The sequence below is a fragment of the Homo sapiens genome, chromosome 1 (genome assembly GCF_000001405.40).
Source record: "Homo sapiens chromosome 1, GRCh38.p14 Primary Assembly".
Classification (NCBI taxonomy): Eukaryota; Metazoa; Chordata; class Mammalia; order Primates; family Hominidae; genus Homo; species Homo sapiens.
The window spans coordinates 85,716,075-85,739,922 of record NC_000001.11 but is presented as its reverse complement, the minus strand read 5'-3'; the positions used below and the strand labels follow the sequence as shown (position 1 = coordinate 85,739,922).

Here is a 23,848-nt window from a genome sequence, read left to right as displayed (position 1 = left end):
GTGAACTGGAAAGAGAAGAGAAATGAAATTATGGAGGAGATGCAGTTGTTGGTAATAACAAAAGCTAGGATATGGCCTTGGAAGTTAATGGTTAAAGTAAGGTACGAGGGTAGGGGGAGGGTACAAGATCATTGGTGGAAAAGTAAGAGGGTTGGGGAGGATACAATTCAAGGAACTGAAGACCAACATGTTGAAAGCATCATCTATGTGGCTTTAAAATCACCAAGAATTAGGTCATAAGTAGATTTTCTGAAAGTGATAAAAAGCTAAAATTGTCATAGAAAAATAGTAAATGATTACACCAGGAGGAACTAATGAATGATATAATGTGATTATAGTAATTTCAATATGGAGTGTTTTCAGGGAGAAAATGCAAAGAATGGTCTGTAAGTAGCAACAAAGAGCAAGAAAGATGCCTTGCCACCTTCGGGCACAACACTGTAGAGGCTACAAGAGAAGCAGTGTCCTCAGGGAAGAGCTAGTTTTGAGTCAGAACATTTAGGCTCACAAAAGATATGTCATGGTATAGGACTTCATCTCTAGCTTGGCATACCTTGAAAGAAATTATGGAGCCCCTACCCAAATAGAATATAACACCTGAATTCAAAGCATTTCACCCCATATAAAAATAAAATTTGCTTGATGGAAAACCTTTTATAAAGAATTTTTTATTATTAGCTCATATAGTAGTAGGATAGTATTTCTTGGAAGACAAGAGAAGGTGAAAGAAGATATATGTTTACTCCATTAGGTAAGACTGGAAGCCCTCATCAGATTCTGATGAAAAATTCAGCTGTACTTTCTAAAAACTTTATGAAATATTCAAAATTCTGAAGATAAGGGACTAGGAATGGTTGACCTCCTTCACCCCTTTCTTCTGTATTTCAATATATCAGTGGTTCTCCAAATGTGATCCCTGGACCAGAATTAGATACTGTTAGAAATGCAGATTCTTAAGCCCCACCCCAGACTTAATAAATCAGCAACTCTCAAGGGTAGGGCCCAGCTATGTGTGTTTTAGTGATGGTTTGATGCACACTAAAGTTTGAACACTGCTGCAGCTGAGGACCATTTCTACCCTTTGAGCTACCAATTAAGCAAGTAAGCATTTAGAGGGATTAGTAGAATAGTAGAGAGGAGAATATTTGAGGATGTTTTAGAAGCTAGAGGAAACTCAGGATGAGCTAGAGGAATCTTTGCTATGGAATAAAAGTGGAATGAACAAGGACTTCTGCCTACTGTAGAAAAAATGACATTTAACAAAAACCATTGAATGTTCTTGCGTTTTTAATGCAGGAAAACAGGGCTGCCTTATTCAAAAATTCCTGTCCTTTGTATTTGGAATAAGATGCTATTTTAATACTCTCAGTCTATTAGTCTGGAATTAAGATGCTAGGCCATTGCTTTTCAGTCTAAGTATTTTCTGTAGTCTGAGTTTAGGCCCAGTTTTATTCTCTTGGGCACTCAGTGGAGCAAAGACTGGTAGAATTTCACTAGCTATAGGGACCTCAGTTTTTCCCACTGAGTGATAGTGGGAAAATCTGAAAGAGTACAAAAATGATAAACATTTAATTGTATGATTTTTTTGTGAAAACAAAAATGTTCTCATATTTTTATTTTACTTATCAGTATTATACATAAAGATATATTTTTCCTTCAAGAGATGGAAGTTGTTTCTATTATAAAACAAAATGTTCGTTTGAAACACTGTAATGATGTATAACAGAAATATACACATATACTTCATTAAGTTCAACTTTTTTGTTAACTATGTAACTAAACAATTCACTTTTAGTTGCTGAGCACATCTTCTTATCTGTAGAATGAAGCAATCAATTCAGCTATTCTATCATTTTATCATAATTTAATCATAATTGATTAAAATTATGAAACACTCTGAAATTGATAGTTATGTGAAAAATACAGCATTTTTAGTATCAATTTTACATAATGCAGCATTCATTCATTCACTAAATGTAAATATATAATCTTCTAAGTTTTTAACAGGTGAAACTGTGATAATATGTATTTAAAGTACCATGACCATTTATAAGGATGTGGCCGGGCACAGTGGCTCACGCCTGTAATCCCAACACTTTGGGAGGTGGAGGTGGGCAGATCACTTGAGGTCAGGAGTTCAAGGCCAGCCTGACCAACATGGTGAAATCCCATCTCTACTGAAAATACAAAAATTAGCCGGGTGTGGTGGCCCATTCCTGTAATCCCAGCTACTCAGGAGGTTGAGGCATGAGAATCACTTGAACCCAGGAAGCGGAGGTTACAGTGAGCCAAGATCGCACCGCTGCACTCCAGCCTGGGCTAACAGAATGAGACTCTCTCTCTCAAAAAAAAAAAAGAAATTATAAGGATTATGGCATTTAATAACTTTAACTTTATGTTTTACTATAAATTATTAGGAAAATACTGGATTGACCCAAATCTTGGCTGTCCTTCAGATGCCATTGAGGTTTTCTGCAATTTCAGTGCTGGTGGCCAGACATGCTTACCTCCTGTTTCTGTAACAAAGGTATGTTACTGAATTTTAGAACACATGTCGTTATATTGCACAGTATCAGTGAAAAATTATGTTTAAAATTCTATCATTTTAAATAATTATGAATTTTAAGAATGAAAGCAAAGATTATTCTCTATTGTGTATGAGAAATAAATATGTTATTTTTTAAAACTAGTTAATCACAGTAAATCTTGACATTTTGATTGTGTCTTTTTATTATTTGGCTTAGTTTGCCTTACCCTACTGATCATGTTTTTTAAATTCCTTTTAAAATTGTGCAACATATGCTATGTTTTTATGCATACACACACATTAGAAATTTCTTAAACAGCTAGTGTTTGTAACCAGTAATCAGTTACCTGAAGTTTTGCTGAAAATTATATTATAATCATTAAAAAAGAATTTGCCACAAAATCTTGCTATTTATGGTTATTGGGCACATAATAACCTTTCTTAAACATCCACAGAATACTACTAAAAACTTCTTTCATGAATAATTCTATAAATCAAACGTTTAGAACGAATGCATGTTAGTTTGTTAAACTAACATATATTATAACACTGGGAGTTATAACAAATATTTATAAAACCTAAATCCTAGCTGTACCTATAACATATATTGAAACCAAAACTATGTTTCTTTCTTTTTCTGATTAAACCAGCTTGATATATGATCAAGAATTTCTCATTGACAAAGAACTGATACATGTGCCTATTGTGTGTTTTGTTCATCATAAAAAGACAGCAGATAAAATTCAATCTCTTTAGCTGCTTCTTATTGAACCGCCCTCTCCTCCTAAAACACCTCTCTTCATTAACCAGGGCATTCCATCAATTTATCTTAATAGGCATTCACCATTATTACCCCTGAAATAGAAGAGGGAAGGATCCTTCCATTCCTAGGGAATCATGAACCTCTAATAAAGAGCAGCATGATAGTCCTACTTCCAAAATATCCACATCATCATCCTCATTCCAGTGGAAGTTGGCATAGGATTATCATAGAAGGAAAGAAGATGGGGCTGTGTGAACTGTGCAGAGGAAATAGGAGCAGTGGGGAAGCGGACTCTAGTTGTTTCCATGACCAAATCACTTCTCTAATTTCTTTGATTCATAAACTCAACCCAAGGAAGACCAGAGAAGTACTGGGATGAACAGTAGACTTGGAATCAGGGACTGGGGTTCTAGTCTCTATTCTATGAACCTAGGGAATAAAACTGTGATCCACCAGAGGGCCTGCTCTGTGCCAGGAACAATGCTAGGTAAATTACATTTGTCATTTTTAATCCTCATAACAACCATGCCAGATTAGTGTTATACCCGAATTTACTGACAAGGAAATTAAGGCTCAGAAAGCTTAAATATTGTTTGCAAGTTTCTGACTCTAATCTGTAAAATGAAGGAATTGAATTACTTAAATTCTAATGTTCCTTATTATCTTTCCATGTGTATGCCCTTCTTTTGCCTTTCCTCTCATTTTGTTTTTTCTTTCTGTTTTTCTTTTTGTTGTTATTGTTTTTCTTCTACATTACCTCATAACTGATATTTTTCTAACTTTATGCTTGGAAATCAGTACAAATTCCTCAGTAGGAACTATTTCTGTTCACTTACATTATGACCATATCCCTGCTTGAATAATGCTAAAATAATAATAATCATGTCTAGAGCTATAGGAAAATCTGCCTTCCTGTTCAAGCCTGGGAAACGTGCAGTCAGTCTTCTTAAGTCTGATATTGTCCTATATATTAACTAATATATATATTAGTTAATACTTGTTTATGCATTCATTCATTCATTCAATAAATATTTATTGACGATTCACTGTGTGAATGAAACTACATTAAGGGCTGGTAACACAAAGAATAGGATTCTGTCCTAGTCCGTTAAGGCTCTCAAAGTTAAAATTACTCAACCAAATTATTGTTACAGCTTGTAACTCATCTTTGGAAACTCTCACAAAAAAAATCTCGAAGGCAGAGACAGAATCTCAGATTTTTATTAAAAAAAGTATTAAAGCATTAACCAAAAGCAAATTGTTACTTTATATACTGTGAAAATTATCTTTATTTTATTGATATTATATGTAGTAGCCTGATGGTATGCTGGAGCCAATTCATATAGGCTCAGGAAAGCCACTTGTTAACATTTCTTCCCATTGCCGTGTTCAGTGACCTCACCTTGGTAGTCTGAATTCAGCCATGCCTGTAATCCCAGCACTTTGGGAGTGCTTCTACCACAGGAGTCAGGAAATACTATAAATCATGGTTTTTCCTCCAAGAAGCAGTGGTTAAACATTTACCAGCACACCACTGACTGGCACTTCAGTTCCAAGGAAAGGAGCTTTCTGGAGGCTGCCTTTGAAGGACTTTTCCTCAGGTTTTCCTGAACTGTTAAGTTTCTCAATTGCCATGTTATAACCTGCATATCATTTCTATGACATTAGTTGGAGTTTGGAGTTGGGAAAGTCCAGATGAACTTCCTTCATTTACTGAGTTCGGAAGCCACCCATATCATCACCATTCACTGTCTAAACACCCCAAGGTGGACAAGCACACAAACAAGTGGCCCAGGATTGCCTATTGGTTTCAAGGGATGGAATGGCCAGATTTTTAAAGTAAACACTCTACTTGAACCTAAAGTGCTTTCAGATGACTGCAAGGTAAGGAAATGGCACTTTTAGAATTGTTCAATATAACTAACTTAAAATTGATAAAACCATAAAATTAGGATAATTAGAGTAAGACTTTAATTACAAACTGCAGATACAGAAGGGTAGTAAGTTTTAATGTGCCTGACTTGTAACTGCATTTTCTAGAATCAATCATTTGTTTATATAATACCTTATCAACTTGTGTCATACCAATTGGTCTTAGATTTTTGCATGCAAAACAGGTGTTAAGATGTAAATTTAATTTTTATTCCCTATATGAAATAATTATACCAGGATGGATGGATGGATAGATAGACAGATAGATAAATGATAAATAGATAGTGTATTTGGATAAATATTTTCATGTGTTTTCACTGCTGTAATTCTACATCTCATTATTGCATAAAAGGCAAGTTATAGAGGCAAGTGAGTTTTATTTCATTCTGTCAATCCCTGTACCTGATACCAAATATGGGTATAATTACATATTGACTGGCCCCACCAGTAAGTATTTGAATTCTGGCCTATTTTTTTTCCATTAAAATTAAATAGTGGGGCCAGGCATGGTGGCTCATGCCTGTAATCCCAGCACTTTGGGAGGCCGAGGCAGTCAGATCACTTGAAGTCAAGAATTCAAGACCAGCCTGGCCAACATGGTGAAACCCCGTCTCTATTAAAAATCCAAAAATTAGCCAGGCATGGTGGCAGGTACCTGTGATCCCAGCTACCTGGGAGACTGAGGCAGGAGAATCACTTGAACCCAGGAAGCGGAGGTTGCAGTGAGCCAAGATCGCACCACTGCATTCCAGCCTGGGCAGCAGAGTAAGACTCTGTCTCAAAAAAAAAAAAAATTAAATTAAATTAAATTAAATAATGGGGCTAGGCACTGTGGGGGCACATCTGTAATCCCAGCACTTTGGGAGGCTGAGGCGGGTGGTTCACTTGAGGCCAGGAGTTTGAGACCAGCCTGGCCAACATGGAGAAACTCCGTCTCTACTAAAAATACAAAAATTAGCCAGGCATGGTGGCACACGCCAATAATCCCAGCTACTCAGGAGGCTGAGCCACAAGAATTGCTTGAACCTGGGAGGCAGAGGCTGCAGTGAGCCAAGATTGTGCCACTGCACTCCAGCCTGGGCAACAGAGCAAAACTCTATCTCAAAAAAAAAAAAAAATTAAATGACAGTTACTATGAAAAATCTATAATTTTAAAACACTATTTCTTAGAGCAGGTGTTGGCAAACTATGTTCAACAGACCAAATCGGGCCCACTCCATGTTTTTGTGAATAAATTTTTATTGGAACACAGCCATCCTTAATTCATTTACTTATTATCTATGGCTGTTATGGCACTACAATGGCAGAGTTGAGTAAGTATGACAGAGACTGCAGGGCCCACAAAATGTAAAATACTTACTATCTGGCCCTTTAGAGAAGAGTTTGCCGACCCCTCTTTTAGAGAATGGAGTTGTACACTTTATATATGTATCATTAATTATTTTAAGTAGCTTCATTTCCTATCTTTGTGTACTATGAAACCCATGATTTAGTATCTCAACATTTCCAAGTTACTCTACTTTTTCATAACATTTTATTTCCAGGAAAATAGTGCTTGAAAAATCATAAGCAAATAGAAGTATATATATTTTATTATCTATATTTGAAGAGATGAGTATCATCAACAAATTTATTTAACTTGTACAGTTGGGCCCAGAAACATTCAGTGACTCACTAGTACCTCTGAGACACAATTCAAACTTATCAACTCCATTGAGTGCTTACAACAACCAGACCCCAGCCTGCTTTTCTAGATTGGGCTTTCACTGGCTGTCTGTTGTAAACTATGGTCAAACTCATCTGTTACAATAATAATAGGGATAATAATATCAACAGCTCCTACTACTATTTATTGGGAGTTTTATTATATGTTAAGTGACCATGCATTACATTAATTATTTTATTCATAATAACAGCTTTGTAAAGAATATATTATTGGTCCTATTTTATAGGTATGAAAGTAAAGGCACAGAGAACTTGCTCAAGGTTATTTTGAGCAAAGTAAGGCAGCCAATTAGCATAATTAAAAATAAATTCGCAAGTAAGTAAAATTAGCATAAGTAAAATAAAAATTAAAGTAAAAAATAAATAAAAATTAAAGTAATGCAGCTAATTAGATAATCGCAGTCATACAGCTAATTAGAGGAGGAACAAGAAATCAATCCCAGGCATGGCTGGGCACAGTGGCTCATGCCTGTAATCCCAGCACTTTGGGAGGCCAAGGCAGGCAGATAACAAGATCAGGAGATCGAGACCATCCTGGCTAACACGGTGAAACCCCGTCTCTACTAAAAATACAAAAAATTAGCCGGGCGTGGTGGCAGACACCTGTAGTCCCAGCTACTCAGGAGGCTGAGGCAGGAGAATGGCGTGAACCTGGGAGGCGGAGCTTGCAGTGAGCCTAGATTGCACCACTGCACTCCAGCTGGGCGACCGAGTGAGACTCCGTCTCAAAAAAAAAAAAAAGAAAAGAAAAGAAATCAATCCCAGGCATGGAGAACTCCAAAGCCCAGGCCTTACTGTACTGCTAGTGACTTTTGATTGAAACTTCATTTAATCCTCGCAAGCCTGTGAGGTAGGTGTTTATTATTCCCATTTTATATGTGGGGAAAGTGAGAGTACCAGAATTTCTATCAAAATCTGTCCCAGGTCAAATCCGTGAATTTAAACGCCATGCTAAGCTAATTTTCACAGCCACTTTCTACTTGCCCTTCTGTTTTTTAGTTTTTTGTGGTGGTTGTTGTGTGTGTGTATATGTATGGGTGTTCAGCTTAAGCCATTCATTTTCTCTGAAATGCCTTTCTGTACCTCACTAATCAAGTGGAAATTTTAGGCATACTTTAAAGCCCATCTATATTCCAAATTTTTTCATGAAGCTTTCCCTGAGTACTCTAGTTAGAAATGTGGAATTTACTAACTATCTACATTTTTTACATTGTACTTTCTATAGATGGTCTTTTGTTGTGGTTATTTGTTTATGTTTTTACTCTCTTCAATTAGATTTATAAGCCACTAGCATTTAGAAGCCAGAACTATTGTATTCATCGTGTATTTCACAAGCACTATAAGAACACTAAGTGTTACATCTTATTCAACTATGCTAAATATACTTAGTATTCAATAAATATTGCTTAAAAGACTTAATGAATGAATCTAACAGTGCCTCACACACAGAATTTTAGGTCTTGTTATCATACCAAGCTTATGACTTTAGACAAGTAACTTATTTTCAATGAGCTTCAATTGCCTTAACTTTAAAATAAAATTTATAGCTTAAATAATCTCTAAAGTTCCTTCAAAATTTAAAATTTATATCATGATAATTCTGTGAATAAGTGAATTAGCTCCTAAATAACAGCTCCACAAAACTCATCAATTGTTTTTCTCTATTGTGTCTGGTTGAATCTTAATCACAGGATATCTTATGATATGTTTTTGTTCCACAGAGTTTATTAGACACAAAAGAGAAGAAAGAGGGAAACTGTATAAATAGAGAGCTACAGAATGGGGCGGGGGGGAAGAGACCTAAAAGATGATTGCACATAATTATAATTTTAACTATTTCTGACTGAGGTGATTCTGTTTATTTTCTACCTAAAATACAGAGGTTGAAATAGCTCGTTCCCTTTTATCAAAGAAAAATATCCATCCTGAGGTATCAGTCCCAAATAAAGGAATACAGAACAGATGGTTATTACTCATATTAGGAGTATTGCAGCCTTTTAATTCATATCTGGTCCAATAATTCACAGACAGTTGAAGCAGAAGCCTGGCCTTAGCCTCTGGAAGTGAAAAATTAGAACAGACAGTGCCATTCTAGAGAAAGGAATAAGTCCAGGTTTTCAACTAATAATAGTAATTTTACCATTTATTGAGCATTGTTCTAGGCACTTTCTATTCGTTATCTCTAATCCTTAAAACAAGTTCACATTATCTGTGAAAGGCATTGTCTACTGAAAGTGACTGCTAATGAAATGCGTATGAAAGCATTTTGTTCTTATTTTACAGATTCAAGATGGCAGCTGGCATAAGGCAACATTTCTTTTTCACACCCAGGAACCTAATCAACTTCCAGTGATTGAAGTACAAAAACTTCCTCATCTCAAAACTGAACGAAAGTATTACATTGACAGCAGTTCTGTATGCTTTCTGTAAAGTCTCTGAATTAGTTCCGAATTCAGGCTGTTGGCCAGGTAATTGCTGCAGAGGGAGAAATAAGACAGACAGATACAGTCATTATGAAATGCATGTAATAAAGCATTGGCTAAATCTTAAAGAATCTCAGGAAGAACAGACTTCCTCCTAAGAAGGAGAAAAGGCATTTTTAAAGGACTATGATTGATAAAGTATTTAATTCTTTTAAAAATTATATTCATCTCAGCTTTCTTAGAGAATTCCCTAGAACTAAAAATTTATAAATATGGAATTCTTCAGGGTATCTTATATTTTTGACTGAGTGCGTAGTACCCATTAGACAGCTGGAGATGCAGAGCACTATGGAGCAATACTGGCTAATGCTTCCAGATGTGCACTGCTTCTGTCTAAAAATTACAAGCCACAGTCTAATATGTCTTATTTTCCAAAACACTAAGCTGTATTCAGGTCCCCGATGGGCATATACATCTTAGCCGGTGATACACTACCTCTTACGTGTTGCCTCTTTGTGTTGCTTGGTGCTCTTTCGAAAACAAGGTGCTTATGGCTTTCATAGACTATTTCCTTTTTCATCTTTGTCATTCTTTAAAAGTGTATGTACTGGTTACATCAAGATATGTTTTGGTTGTTAGTACTTATTTTAATTTGTTTGGTCACACACTTAATAACACGTGAAACTATTTATGTGAAGTCCTTGTTTTATTTTAAAATTCTCTTTGTGTATTTGGAATCAAAGCCAGCACATTGTAACCTGTGCTTGTACGCAAAAGAATTAGATTTCTTTGTTTTTGTTTTATTTTTTAAATTGTTGTAAAAATTATTATAGGCCAGCTACATCTAGTAGTAGGTTTGGGGTACAGATTGGGGGTTGTGCCATACTGTTTTTAAAGTTCATGATCATCTGGAATGATACTTAGTGTATATATATTTTGTAAAGTTTTAATTCAGCAAATTTTTTGAAATTGCTGCTGTTTTAAATTATAAAACCTTTATATTTCTGCTTTGTAGAAATTATATGTTTTGTAGTATTCATTGATTTTCTTTCACTGTACTTAAATTTAGTGTTAGTACTTTAAAATTTTTAATTTACCAGTCTTTAAAGCAACATCCAGAAAAAAAAAAGTCTTTTCCCATTTAAAATAGGCTCAGCCAGTTCAATGTCTCCTTGTTATCAGAGAAATATTAGTTCAATACTGAAAGAAAAATATTATACCTCTTGGTATCTAGAAAAGCTTGTTCATCCATTATAAATATATCTTTAGCCACAGCAAACCACACTTAACCTATCTATAATAAAAATGTGCTTTAAATAATTTTGGGTGGTATTTGTTTTTCTTCTTTTGTTACAATATGCTTTTATTATTTATGATAGCCCCTCTGGCATAGCCTTTCTGTGTTATGTATATTTATATTGTTAAGAAGTATCTTTTATATACCTGCAAAAGGATTATAGGACCTATTTCCATGACAAAAATAAACTCTTACATATATCATCAAATGACTTTCAACAAGTGCGCCAATGCCATTCAATGGAGAAAGGACAGTCTTTTCAACAAATGGTTCTGGGAAAACTGGATATCCACATGCAAAAGAATGATGGTGAACCCTTACCTTATATTACATACAAAAAGTAACTCAAAATGGGAGCAAATATCTAAACAAAAGAGCTAAAACTATAAAACTCTTAGAAGAACACAGAAAATCCTTCATGACACTGGATTTGGCAATGATTTCTTGGAATGACAACGAAAGCACAGTCAACAAGAGAAAAAAATAGACAAATTGGACTCTCTCAATATTAAAAATTCTCTGTGCATCAAAGAACACATCAAGAAAATGAAGAAGCAGCCCAAGGAATATGATAAAATATTTGCAAATCATATATCTGATAAGGGATTAATATCCAGAATATATAAAGAACTCCAGTGACTCAACAATAGAAGAACTGGCAACCCGGTTTAAAGAATGGGCAAAGGACTTGAATAAACATTTCTCCAAAGATATAGAAATGGCCAATGAATAAAAAGATGCTGGCTGGGCACAGTGGTTCATGCCTGTAATCCCAACACTTTGGGAGGCTGACGTGGGAGGATTGCTTGAGTCCAGGAGTTCAAGACTAGCCTGGGAAACGTAGTGAGACACGATCTCTACAAAAATTTTCTAAAAATTAGCCAGGCATGGTGGCACACATGTGTAGTCCTGGCTATTTAGGAGGCTGAAGCAGGAGCATCGCTTGAGCCCAAGAAGTTGAAGTTATGGTGAGCCATGATCACACCACTGCATTCTAGCCTGGGTGACAGAGTGAGACCCTGTCTCAAAAAAAAAAAAAAAAAGAGAAAATGCCCCAAATCAATAGTCGTTGGGTAAATGCAAATCAAAACCACCAGGAGGTACCAATTTTGTGGTATAATGCAAAAATATATTGGTCTTTATCTCTGGTTCCTGGCACAGGGCTCCTAAGACTCTTGGAATTTTCTAAGTGAAAGGAGTGTCTTTTGTTATTTATAATGAACCCTTTTCAATCACACCTGAGTTTATGTTCATAAGGTTTTTTAGAGTGGGGCCCCTAAAGAGCCTCAGGATGGAGCTGGTCCCCAGAAAGACCAAGTAATTAGAGGGTTGAGACTTTCAGTCCCACCTACTGACCCCTGGGAAGAGGGGAGGGCAGGCCCTGGAGATGGAGCTCTGTAAAAACTCTTGAACAGTGAGATTTAGAGAGTTTTCTGTTTGGTGAACACATTAACTTGCTGGGAAGGTGATAACGCCCAGTAGGGCATGGAAGTTCTGCACTACACTCCCCATGCTCTGCCCTGTGCATCTCTTCCAGCGGGCTGTTCCTAAGTTATAATAAACTAGTAAACATAAGTAAAGTGTTTCCCTGAGTTCTGTAAGCCATTCTAGCAAACTGTTGAACATGAGGAGGGGCGTCATGGGAACCTACCATTTGTAGTTGGTTGGTCAGAATTACCGATGGCCTGGGACTTGCAATTGGCATCTGAAGTGGGTACTGAACCCATTTATCTGTGGAATGTGATGCAATTTCAGGCAGTGTCAGAATTGACTTGAATTGTTGGACATCCAAATTGGTGTCTGAAGAATTGGAGAACTGGTTGTTAGTTTTGGAAAACACCCCAGAACTTTACACCCATTAGGATGGCTATTTTAAAAATAAAAGGAAAATAACAAGTGTTCTCAAAGATGTGGAAAATTGAAAGCCTTATGCATAGCTGGTGGGGATACAAAATGGTACAACCGTTGCACTGAATAGTTTGGTGGTTACTTAAAAAAGTAAATAACTTTTTAAAAAGTTGTGTGTGTGTGTATCTATGTACACGTATATAACTATGTATATGCATATATAGCTTTATATATATATATATAAAGCTGAATGTAGAATTACCATATCATCCAGCACTTCTCCTACATCTAGGTATATACCCAAAAAAATTGAAAACAGGGATTCAAATAAATATATGTATATCAATGTTTATGGGAAGCATTATTACAATAGCCAAAATGGATAAACAACCGAAATGTTGATAAACAGATGAATAGATAAACAAAATGTGGTATATACATACAATAGAATGTTATTCGGGCTTCGAAAGGAATGAAATTCTGTTATATGTTACAACATGGATGAACCTTGAAAATATTATGCTAAGTGAAATAAGCCAGACACAAAAGGACAAATAGTGTGTGATTCCACTTATATGAGGTACCAAGAATAGACAAATTCATACAGACAAAAAGTAGAATAGAGGTTACCAGAGGCCAGAGGAGGTGGGAATGAGGTGAGAACTATCCTTTTTTTAATGAGTGCAGAGTTTCTGTTTGGAATGACAACGTTTTGGAGATAGATAATGAAGATGGTTGCATAACAATGTTAATGTACTTATTGCTACTGAATAATACACGTTAAAATGATTAAAACAGTCAATTTTATGTTATGCATATTTTACCCCAACTTTTAAAAATAGGGACTTGGCAAAGATGTCTGTGTTTTCATTTGAAGAAGATAAAAATGTTTTTAAAAGGAGCACAAAGTTTGAGTGTAAACTAAAGAAATCATATCCTATAATCTAGTTTCAGTCTACACGCTATACATTCTGTTCCAAAAAGTAATAATAACTTAGTTTGGACTTACATGATTTTTCTAGAGATCATTTAAGAAACATATAGAGGACAGAAATGCTTGCTTTATGTTTTAAGTGTGTTCCTGAATTATCGAATTTAAAGCAAATTTCAATCAACTTAATCATAGGCAGTATAGTAGTTAGGAGTGCTCTGAGGATTCACTGTGATTTGGGGTGTATCATTGTAGGTTCATTGTCTCAGTTTCTTCGCTGTAAAATAGTGATAATAAAAATACTTACCTCATTTGGTTGTTGAGTGGATTCGAAAATGGAGAAATGCTTAAAACAGTGTCTGGCACAAAGTAATCACCATAAACATTAGTCGCTGCTCTTTATTGCCATCATCATCATCATCATTAAAGATTTAATAGTTCTATGATCATTATCACCAAAGAAGTTTATGCTAAATCTCTCAATAAAATTATTCATCTGCTTTAAAGCCATGCTGTCCCCATATTTTGTTGTATAAATATAGATTTTTTATGTATTATAATTATTAATTATTAAATATAAAGACTTTCTAAAAATCAAGTGCAACAGATAATATATACAATTAAGAAAAGTGTTTTGCTTTTCTCCCCATTTTTATGTACTAATGTAAAAGTTACAGTGGTTTGGCTGGGTACGGTGGCTCATGCCTGTAATCCCAGCACTTTGGGAGGCCGAGGTGGGTGGATCACCTGAGATCGGGGTTTCGAGACCAGCCTGACCAACATGGAGAAACCCCGTCTCTATTAAAAATACAAAAAATTATCCGGGCATGGTGGCACATGCCTGTAATCCCAGCTACTCAGGAGGCTGAGGCAGAAGAATCACTTGAACCCAGGAGGCGGAGGTTGCAGTGAGCGAGATTGCACCATTGCACTCCAGCCTGGACGAAAACAGTGAAACTCCATCTCAAAAAAAAAAAAAAAAAATTATAGTGATTATTACAAAGTAAATATCATGGACATTTTCTGTAATATGAAACCATAGCAAAAGGAATATTGGACTTAGAGGCAGAAAACATAAATCAAGTTTCAACTCTCCCATTTATTGGTTTGCAGTACTTGGATAAGTCACTAATTCTCTGTTATTATCTGTATTGGGATAGAGAGAGAGAGAGAGTAGGTAGGTATATAGAGTTTTGTGTGTGTGTTTTTTTTTTTTTGTCTATATTGGCAAGTTTTTTTTTTTTTTGGTCTGCTTGTCCTATCAATTACATGAGAGAAGGGTGTTAAAATCTCCAACCATGACTGTGGGTTTGCCTGTTTCTTCTTTTGTTTCTCACTTTTTCTTGCTTACACATGTAATTAGTTGCATTCAAATTCACAGTTGGTATATCCTGTAGTGTTCTGGCCAATGTTTAACACCCAGCTCACTAAGAGGAAAGAAAGAGACAATCCCTAATTTGTTAGCATTTGCCCATTTCTATAGTGTAAATACTTGTACCATGGCTGATTTCAAGCTACAAATAGATTACAGAACATGAAGATAGGAAGAGATAACACGTTGGGTCTAACAAGCTAGTCCAAGTTGGCTTTAGCCCACCATTGGTATGTCATCCTGTTAGAATGATTACTCTGTCATTATGAAATATCCCTTTTCTGCTGATTAACTTAATGTTTACTTTTTCTATTGTTAGTATAATTATATGAGCTTTCTTTTGTTAGTGTCTGCATGGCATATATTTGTCCATCCTTTTATTTTTAACCTTTTTGCATCCGTTCCTTTATTGTGTTTCTTGTAAGCAGCATGTAGTTTTATTTTTATTTTTAATCCACGTTGGCAACTTTAGACTTAATTAGAGTATTTGGTCTGTTTACATTTAATGTAATTACCGTTACATTTACATTTAAACCTGTTCTCTTACTATTGTGTATTTATCTCATCTCTAATTTGTTTCCTCTTTCCTCCTTTCTTGCCCTCCTTTTGAGTGGTAAAATATTTTTATTCTATATTTCCTCTTTTAGCTACTAGCCATATTTTTATTTTCTTTTAGTGGCTACCCTAGAGACTACAGTGGTCACCTTCATATCCTTGACTTTGTAGGGGCTATGTAAATTAGTACTTTTCGTGGTGGCTCATGCCTGTAATCCCAGCACTTTGGGAGGTTGAGGCAGATGGATCCTTTGAGGTCAGGAGTTCAAGACTAGCCTGGCCAATGTGGTGAAACCCTGTCTCTACTAAAAATACAAAAAAAAAAAAAAATAGCCAGGTGTGGTGGTACATGCCTATAATCCCAGCTACTTTGGAGGCTGAGGAAGGAGAATTGCTTGAACCCAGGAGGTGGAGGTTACAGTGAGCCAAGAGCACACCACTGCACTCCAGAACGGGTGATGGAGTGATATTCCATCTCAAAATAAAAAAAAAAAATAGTATTTTTCCACTTTTCAGACAATGCAAGCCCAGATCATGCCACTGCACTGCAGCCCAGGTGACAGAGTGAGACTCTGTCTCAAAAATAAATAAATAAATAATTAGTGCTTTTCCACTTTTCAGATAATACAATAATATTACTACACTTTAATTCCATTTATCACTTCCTGACATTTTGTGGCATTACTCTCTGTATTTTTATTATACATACATTTAAAACTCTAAATATTTTAAACTGACCATTTAGTTTTTTCTGCCTATTTATCCTTTTCTATGCTTTCTTTTTTGTTGTTTTTTAAAACATTTTTATTGATATATAGCCGTTGTACATATTTTGGGGATACATGTATTATTGGGGAATACATATAACATTTTGATACATGTATACAATGTGTAATGATCAAAATAAGTTAATAAGAACATCCATCACCTCAAACATTTATTTTTCCTTTGTGTTGGAAACTACTATTTTTACTTGTTTGAGGAACCTCTATACTGTTTTCCATAATGGCTGTCCTACTTTACATTCCCACCAACAATGTATGAGCATTCCCCTTTCTCCTCATCTCCTTGCCAACATTTATTTTTTTTTTATAATAACCATTCTAAATGGGATAAGATGATGTCTCATTGTACTTTTGATTGCATTTCCCCGATGATTAGTGATGTTGAGAATTTTTTAATATACCTGTTGGCCATTTGTGTATCTTTAGAGAAATATCTATTCAGGTCTTGTGCTGATTTTTTAATAGGATCATTGGTTTCTTTGCTATTAAGTTGTTTGAGTGCCTTAAATATTCTGGTTATTAGTCCCTTGTTGGATTGATCATTTTCAAATACTTTCTCTCATTCTGTGGGATGTCTCTCTTTACTTTTTGTTGTTTCCTTTGCTGCACAGAAACTTTTAGGCTTGATGTAATCCCATCTGTGTATTTTTAAATTGTGTTATTTTGTTTGTTTGTTTGTTTGTTTTTGCTATTGAGTTGTTTGAATCCCCTAAATATTCTGGTTATTAGTCCCTTCTTGCATGGATAATTTTCAAATATTTTCTCCCATTCTGTGAGTTGCCTCTTCACTTTTTGTTTATTGTTTTCTTTGCTGCACAGAAGCTTTTAGGCTTGATGTAATCCTATCTGTGTACTTTTGCTTTGTTACCTTTGCTTTTGAGGTCTTACTCAAAAAATCTATGCTTTTCTTTCCTTCATTACCATGCTTTCATCTGGGATAATTTGCCTTCTGCTAGAGAACCTCCTTAAGTATTTCTTTTCATGTGAATCTACTGGTAAAAAATTACCTTCATTTTTTTGTCTGAAAATTATTTCCTTTGTCTATGGGATATTTTTACTGGGTATAGAATTGCAGATTGTCATTTGTTTTCTTTTAAAGATATTATTCTATTGTTCTCTAACTTCCATAATTTCTGTTTAAATATCAGCTTAAAGTTTTATTTATTTATTTATTTATTTAATTTATTTTCTTTTTGAGACAATCTCACTCTGTCATCCAGACTGGAGTGCAGTGGTGCAATCTCGGCTCACCGCAACCTCTGCCTCCTGGGTTCAAGCGATTCTCCTGCCTCAGCCTCCCAAGTAGCTGGGATTACAGGTGGCCACCACCACATGTGGCTAATTTTTGTAATTTTAGTAGAGACAGGATTTTACCATATTGGCCAGGCTGGTCTCGAACTCCTGACCTTAGGTGATCTGCCCACCTCAGCCTCCCAAATTGCTGGGATTACAGGCATGAGCCACCATGCCTGGCCAAAGTTTTTTTTCTCATTTGAAGAGATTGTGTCTTTTTCTTTGCTTTTAAGTGTTTTTTGTTGTTGTTGTTTTTGTTTTTTGTTTTTGGTTTTGGTCCTTGGTTTTGAATAGTTTTACTGTGAGGTACTTAGGGTAGATTTCTGTGTAATTATTTGCTTGGGATTCAAAGTGCTTGTTTAACATGTGACTTGATCTCTCTTGTAAGCTTTGGACAATTTTTGCTGAGGGTTTCATCAAATATTACTGCTATTGATTCAATTATTCTTTGCTTCTAGGACTTTACACACTCATATTTGAAATATATTTACTTTGTCTCATATATCTCTTATGCTCATCTGTATACTTTTCATCTTTTTTCTCTTTATGCTTCAGTTTATGTTTTTTTTTTTTTACTGACTTAACTTTCAGTTCACTGACCCTATTTTTGCTATATCTAATGTGCTGTTAAACTCACCTTTGAGTTCTTAATATTAGAAATGGTAATTTTTCTTTTTTTTTATTTTTGGAGACAGTCTCGCTCTGTCACCCAGGCTGGAGTGCAGTGGCACAATCTCAGCCCACTGCAACCTCTGCCTCCCAGATTCAAGTGATTCTCCTGCCTCAGCTTCCCGAGTAGCTGGGATTACAGGCCTGTGCCACCACACCTGGCTAATTTTTGTATTTTTTAGTAGAGATGGGGCTTCGCCATGTTGATCAGGCAGGTCTCGAACCCCTGACCTCAGCTGATCCATCCTCCTCAGCCTCCCAAAGTGCTGGGATTAGAGGCATGAGCCAGCACGCATGGCCAGAAATTGTAATTTTTTCAATTGTAATGTTTTCATGTCATCTTTTATGGAAATCTTCCATCCTATTTATCACTTATTGAGCATAATGATCACAATTGACATAAAGTCCATATTTGATTATTCCAACATCTGCATGTCCTAAAGATCTACTTATATTGTCTATTTTTTCCTTTTAGTTTCCAGTCACTTGATTTTGTCTTCTGGTGTATTTAATAATTTTTTTGTTAAGTGTAAGATATGCACAAAAAATTGCAGAAACTCTGAATGACAATAACTCCTTCCCAAGAGGATTTAATTTCCTTTTGGCAGGCAGTTGGATGCAATCAGTGATTGAGATAGTTCAAGACTGGACTTTAGGCCTTCAGAGAGCTGCCCTATTTCTAGTTTTATGGGGTAGCCCTTTAGGTGTCTCAACTGAATGCCTCGGGTGGTTACAAAGATCTTGTCCTCCCTTGTTGCCCCTGAACACCAAGTTTCATTTTCACCTTTTCTCCACTTCCCCATCTCACTAGTCTTGAAAACTTCCAAAAGCTCTTGGATACTGTTTTTATGTCCAGCAATTTCTCCCAGGGAAAAAGTGCTGGAGAAGGTCCAGTTTACCTCAGTATACTTCCTTCTTCATTACTAATCCTCTAACCCTGGCTGCTTTGGATGATCATTGATGCTGTCAAACAGTTATTTTTTATATTTATTCAGATTTTATAATTGTTCTTAGCAGCATGTTTGCTCTGGTATGAGCAGTTCCATCATAACTCCTTATCTATAAAAAGGGAGAATAATTCCTGCTATTTATTCCATTTTTTAGTGGTCGCTGTAGGGATTATGATAGTTCTAATTTAGTACAATCTATTTAAAGCTCATACTGAATTACTTCAAAAAAGCATACTTGAACCTTGTATACTTGGAATAGTATGCTTCTACTTAATCCCTTCATCCTTGTGCTATTGTTGTCATGTATAGTACATCCATATATATTATGAATCCAACAATATGAGGTTATAGTTTTTGCTTTAAACATGTATATATTTTTGAATTATGAGAAGGAAATTTAAAATATATAAATTTTTTTTTTCTGTAGGCCCAACTTACCATCTGGTGTCATTCCCCTTCATCTGAAGAATTTCCCTTATCATTTCTTATAATGTAGGTCAGTTGATGATTAATTTTCTCTGTTTTTGTCTTTATTTCACTTTTCTTTTTTTTTTTTATAAGGTCTCACTCTGTCACCCAGGCTGGACTGCAGTGTCACATCTCAGCTTAATGCAGCCTCCATTTCCAGAGTTCAAGTGATTCTCCAGCCTCAGCCTCCCAAGTAGCTGCGACTACAGGCACAAGCTACCAATGCCTGGCTATTTTTTGTAGAGATGGGATTTCACAATGTTGCCCAGGCTGGTCTCAAGCTCCTGAGGTGAAAGCAATCCTCCCGCCTCGGCATCCCTAAGTGCTGGGATTATAGGCGTGAGCCACCACACCCAGACCTCACCTTTATTTTTAAAAGATATTTTCTCTAGGTGTAGAATTCTTGGCTGCATTTTTTTTCAGCATTTTGGATATATCAGTCCAATGTCTTCTGGCCTCCAATGTTTGTTATTATAATTTAGTCATTATTTGTTCTCCATCTGTAATACGTCATTTTTCTCTTGCTTCTTTCAAGATATCCTTTTATCTTTCTTTGGCTTTCAGCAATTTATCTATGAATACCTCTGTGCTTATATTTATCCTACTTGGGGCTTGTTGAGCTCAGGTCTAAAATGCTCTATATCATCTCAGTGCAACATTTTTCATGTATATTGTCTTGTATTATATTGATTCTCATACAGTTAACAGCACAAATATTCAAATCACAACACTTATACACATAGATTGAGGTAACCATCAGTCAAAAGTAAAATCTTTAAATTCACAAATTACACTGTAAACATATTTTCCCATTGACAAAATAGTTTGGCTCATTAAACTAAAGCCTAAAAGGTAGAACAAGTTAATTTTAAAATTCTATCAAATATTCTTTATATAGAGGCAGAGTTGCCATGAAGCTAACAAATGTAAGCTTTAAATCCCTGAAATGGCCTTCAAAATGTGTTCACATGGGCCTCCATGTTTGTAAAGTTTATAAAAGTACAATAATTTTTGGTTCTTTTTAACATAGAAGAGCATAAATTGAACGAGTTTCAGGCTTCGCAAAACCTAGATCTTCCCCTGCTTTTCACCTTGAATGAAACACAAATGTAGTTCTTTTCATGGGAAGCAAAAAGGAGTTTTTTGCGTGCTTGATGATTTTGTAATAAAGAGGAGGATCACTTCTAGGGGCACAGAAACAACCTGAGCAGTAGAAACATGGTGTTTGGCAGGAGGCACTTTGGCAGATCTCATGTCCTGACCAAAATATAAGAGTTTGGCCCTCCTACGCAAGACTGGCAGGTTTTATAGTTTCAAAAATAAGTGTGAGCTAAGCCTTCAATGTATGTCCTGTTGGGTGTAACTTTTTCCTCATTATCTATATATTAATTGGCTATGTGAGCTATGATGAAGTTGTTGTCACCTAAGCCTGGGTACACAATTATGCAATCTGTGTGCTTTGGATTCAGAGTCCTAGCATTGTTTAAAGCCAAGTTAGAAAAATGATACCTCTTTGGAGAAGAGCAACTGATGGGGAATCTGAGCTGTCATCTTGGCTGTGCGTAGCAGTAGAATTTTAGAACTGCACACAAGTACAAAAAATAATCTCAGTAACAATCCATTAAAAATAATTGCATTTTATTAGGTATCTAGTTCAGAACAAATTTACCGTTGAAATGCAAGAAAATTTTTCGCTTCTTTTTTTTTTTTTTTTTTTTTTTTTTTTTTGAGATAGAGTCTGGCTCTGTCACCCAGGCTGGAGTGCAGTGGTGCGATCTCAGCTCACTGCAACCTCCACCTCCCGGGTTCGAGCGATTCTCCTGCCTCAGTCTCCTGAGTAGCTAGGATTACAGACACCTGCCACAGCACCCGGCTAATTTTTGTATTTTTAGCAGAGAAAGGTTTTCACCACATTGGCCAGGCTGGTCTCAAACTCCTGAGCTCAGGTGATCTGCCCACCTCTCCTCCCCAAAGTGCTGGGATTACAGGTGTAAGCCAAGCGCCCGGCCAATTTTTCACTTCTTGAAGCAAATAGTTGAAACCCAGTTTCATGAAAAGGGCATTCCTCATGAAAAGGGCATTCCTCATGAAGGCATAAGGATCTTCCTCAACTACTAGGAAATTAAAACTTTATTTAAACTTTATTGATATTACATTTAATTTTTTCACTTGAGCATTTTCAGTGTATAAAAGAGGTTCTCATTTAACTAATAATGCAAATTCCAAGATACTATATAAAACATTCACAGTTAAAATAATTTTTGTTCCCAAATGTTTTCCACATAATTCAATACACTCCAAAAAATACTGTTTTTTTTTTCAAGACTTCATACAATGAAAAAACAACTTGGTAGAAATCTTTAAATTAGTAGACATTAGCAAGTTTTTGGTTTGATAGTTGGAAGCGAGAAATTAAAACAATCAGAATTTCTTTAGCTTGGTTTTTATAGCCAAATATTATTCTGGCTGGTAAAACTTGCTCCTTTTAGGCCTTGTGTTAAAGAGAAATAATAATAATAAATTGAAATTTAAAAAAATTCTAAAATCTTTTTAGAAATAAATTTCACATACGTCTCTGCAGCAAATACTATGCCTTCTGTATCAGGTCCTGAATTTCTGTAGTAGTAATTACCCAATTATTGGATCCTTCTAGAGGAACATCAGTTATGATTGAACCACCTAAATGTATGAGGTATTTGTTTGATCCAAATAATGCTTTGCCAGTAATCAATCCAGGCAATTCTTTGGAAACAGTTATTTGTGTGGTCATAATAGGTCCATCCAAATCATGGTATAAGTCACTATCCCCTGTTAAGAATAATCATACCCAGAACCAATCTGTGGTTTCTTCCCTCACCTTACTTCTGTGCCCCAACCTTAGAACCCAAGCTCAGGAAGTGAATCTGGCTCTTTATCACCTGCAGGATGAAGAAGTGCAAGCTTCTCTGGAAGGCCTACAAAGCCTTGGTGACCTGATTTTTGATCACTTGTCAACATTTTCTCTTTCCTTTCTTATCAAAGTCAGCACTCTCCCACCATATTTAAATATCTGTCCTAGTCTGTTCTCTGTTGCTATAATAAAATACCACAGACTCAGTACTTTTTAAAGAGAAGAAATTTATTTCTCACAGTTCTGGAGGCTGGAAAGTCCAGAGCATGGTGCAAGTGTCTAGTGAGGGTTATCCCACGCTGGATTTGTTTTACAAAAACTCAGTCACATGATAACTAACCCACTTTCATGCTAAGATTAATCCATTCATGAATGTTCTACCCTCTTAAACCAATCACCTCTTATTAGGCCCCTCCTCTCAACACTGTTGGGTTAGGGATTAAGTTTCCAACACATGGACTTTTGGGGTACACATTCAAACCACAAGACTCTCTGATGTGCCCTGAACATATTCTACTTTCTCATTCCCATCTGGAAAGCTCTCCTGCCCTGTCTTCCTGGCCAACTCCCATTCATTCTTCAAGCTCCTCAGAAAAATCTTCCTAACTTTCCCCACACAGGAATACATGCTACTTACACTTAAGATCACATTCAATATTCTAATTACTTGCTTCAGTGTTTCATTTTTGCTATTTTCATGTTTATCTCCCTTCACTGAACTGTGAGCTCCTTGTAGGCAAATGGTAGATTTTAATACTTATAATCACACAGCACAGCACAGCACATTGTGTGATGCATAATAGGTGCTGAAGTCCTTCATATTTTTACATTTTATTGTCGTGTATCAGACACTGCACTCTGAGTTGTTGAGAAAAAAATGCAGGGTCCTTGTAAGCTTACTGTCTGGGGGAGAAACTGATGTTAATAAAGTGATAATATAAGTAAATACATAATTATAACTTGAAATAAGTTCTCTAAACACACACACACACACACACACACAAAAAACCATGATCTAGGTTGAGCATAGGGGAGGAGGAGAGGTCAAAAATGCTTCCCTAAGGAAAGTAGTGCTTGACTTGCCATCTGAAGAATGAGTAATTAAGAGATAAAACTGGAGAGAAAATATTGGCCAGAATATGAGGGATCTTCACAAGACCATAATAAGGATTTAGTTCTTTATCTTAAAAGCAAAAATTAGGCATTGAACGTTTTTAAGGACATGATTGACATTATCAGACTTTGATTTGTAACAATGTTCACAGTGTACTTTGGAGAATTAATTGAAAAGAAAAATATTGACTAAGTTAACATATTAATAAGTTAACTAATATGCTAGTTCTTGACTATGTTAATCTCAACTAATTGAAATTTGAATTTTAATACACTTCTGTTATAACGCTAACTGAAATATAATATG

General features: G+C 35.7%; 1 protein-coding gene and 1 long non-coding RNA gene across 20 annotated transcripts in view; one reads left to right on the top strand and one right to left on the bottom strand.

The window, feature by feature from the left end:
- COL24A1 (collagen type XXIV alpha 1 chain) overlaps window positions 1-10,690 on the top strand; it is a 427,752-nt gene extending 417,062 nt beyond the window's left edge. For 16 of the 19 annotated variants that reach the window (NR_146340.2, NR_146341.2, NR_146342.2 and 13 more), the window contains 3 exons: window positions 2,418-2,527; window positions 4,959-5,174; window positions 9,231-10,690. Coding sequence is in view for 13 of the 19 variants with exons in the window: in XM_047417004.1 (XP_047272960.1) it covers window positions 2,418-2,527; window positions 4,959-5,174; window positions 9,231-9,377 (473 nt within the window). In the remaining 6 variants the exon portion in view is untranslated. The remainder of the gene's footprint in view (window positions 1-2,417; window positions 2,528-4,958; window positions 5,175-9,230) is intronic. The other 3 variants (NR_146344.1, XM_047417015.1, XM_017000926.2) reach the window with 1 other exon arrangement.
- LOC105378823 (uncharacterized) lies at window positions 12,402-22,208 on the bottom strand. Its single transcript, XR_947550.3, has 4 exons — window positions 22,110-22,208; window positions 21,048-21,120; window positions 13,754-13,805; window positions 12,402-12,467 (listed from the first exon to the last, which is right to left on the bottom strand). It is a non-coding gene; the product is annotated as an uncharacterized LOC105378823 (long non-coding RNA).
- Between the last annotated feature and the right edge of the window lie 1,640 nt (window positions 22,209-23,848).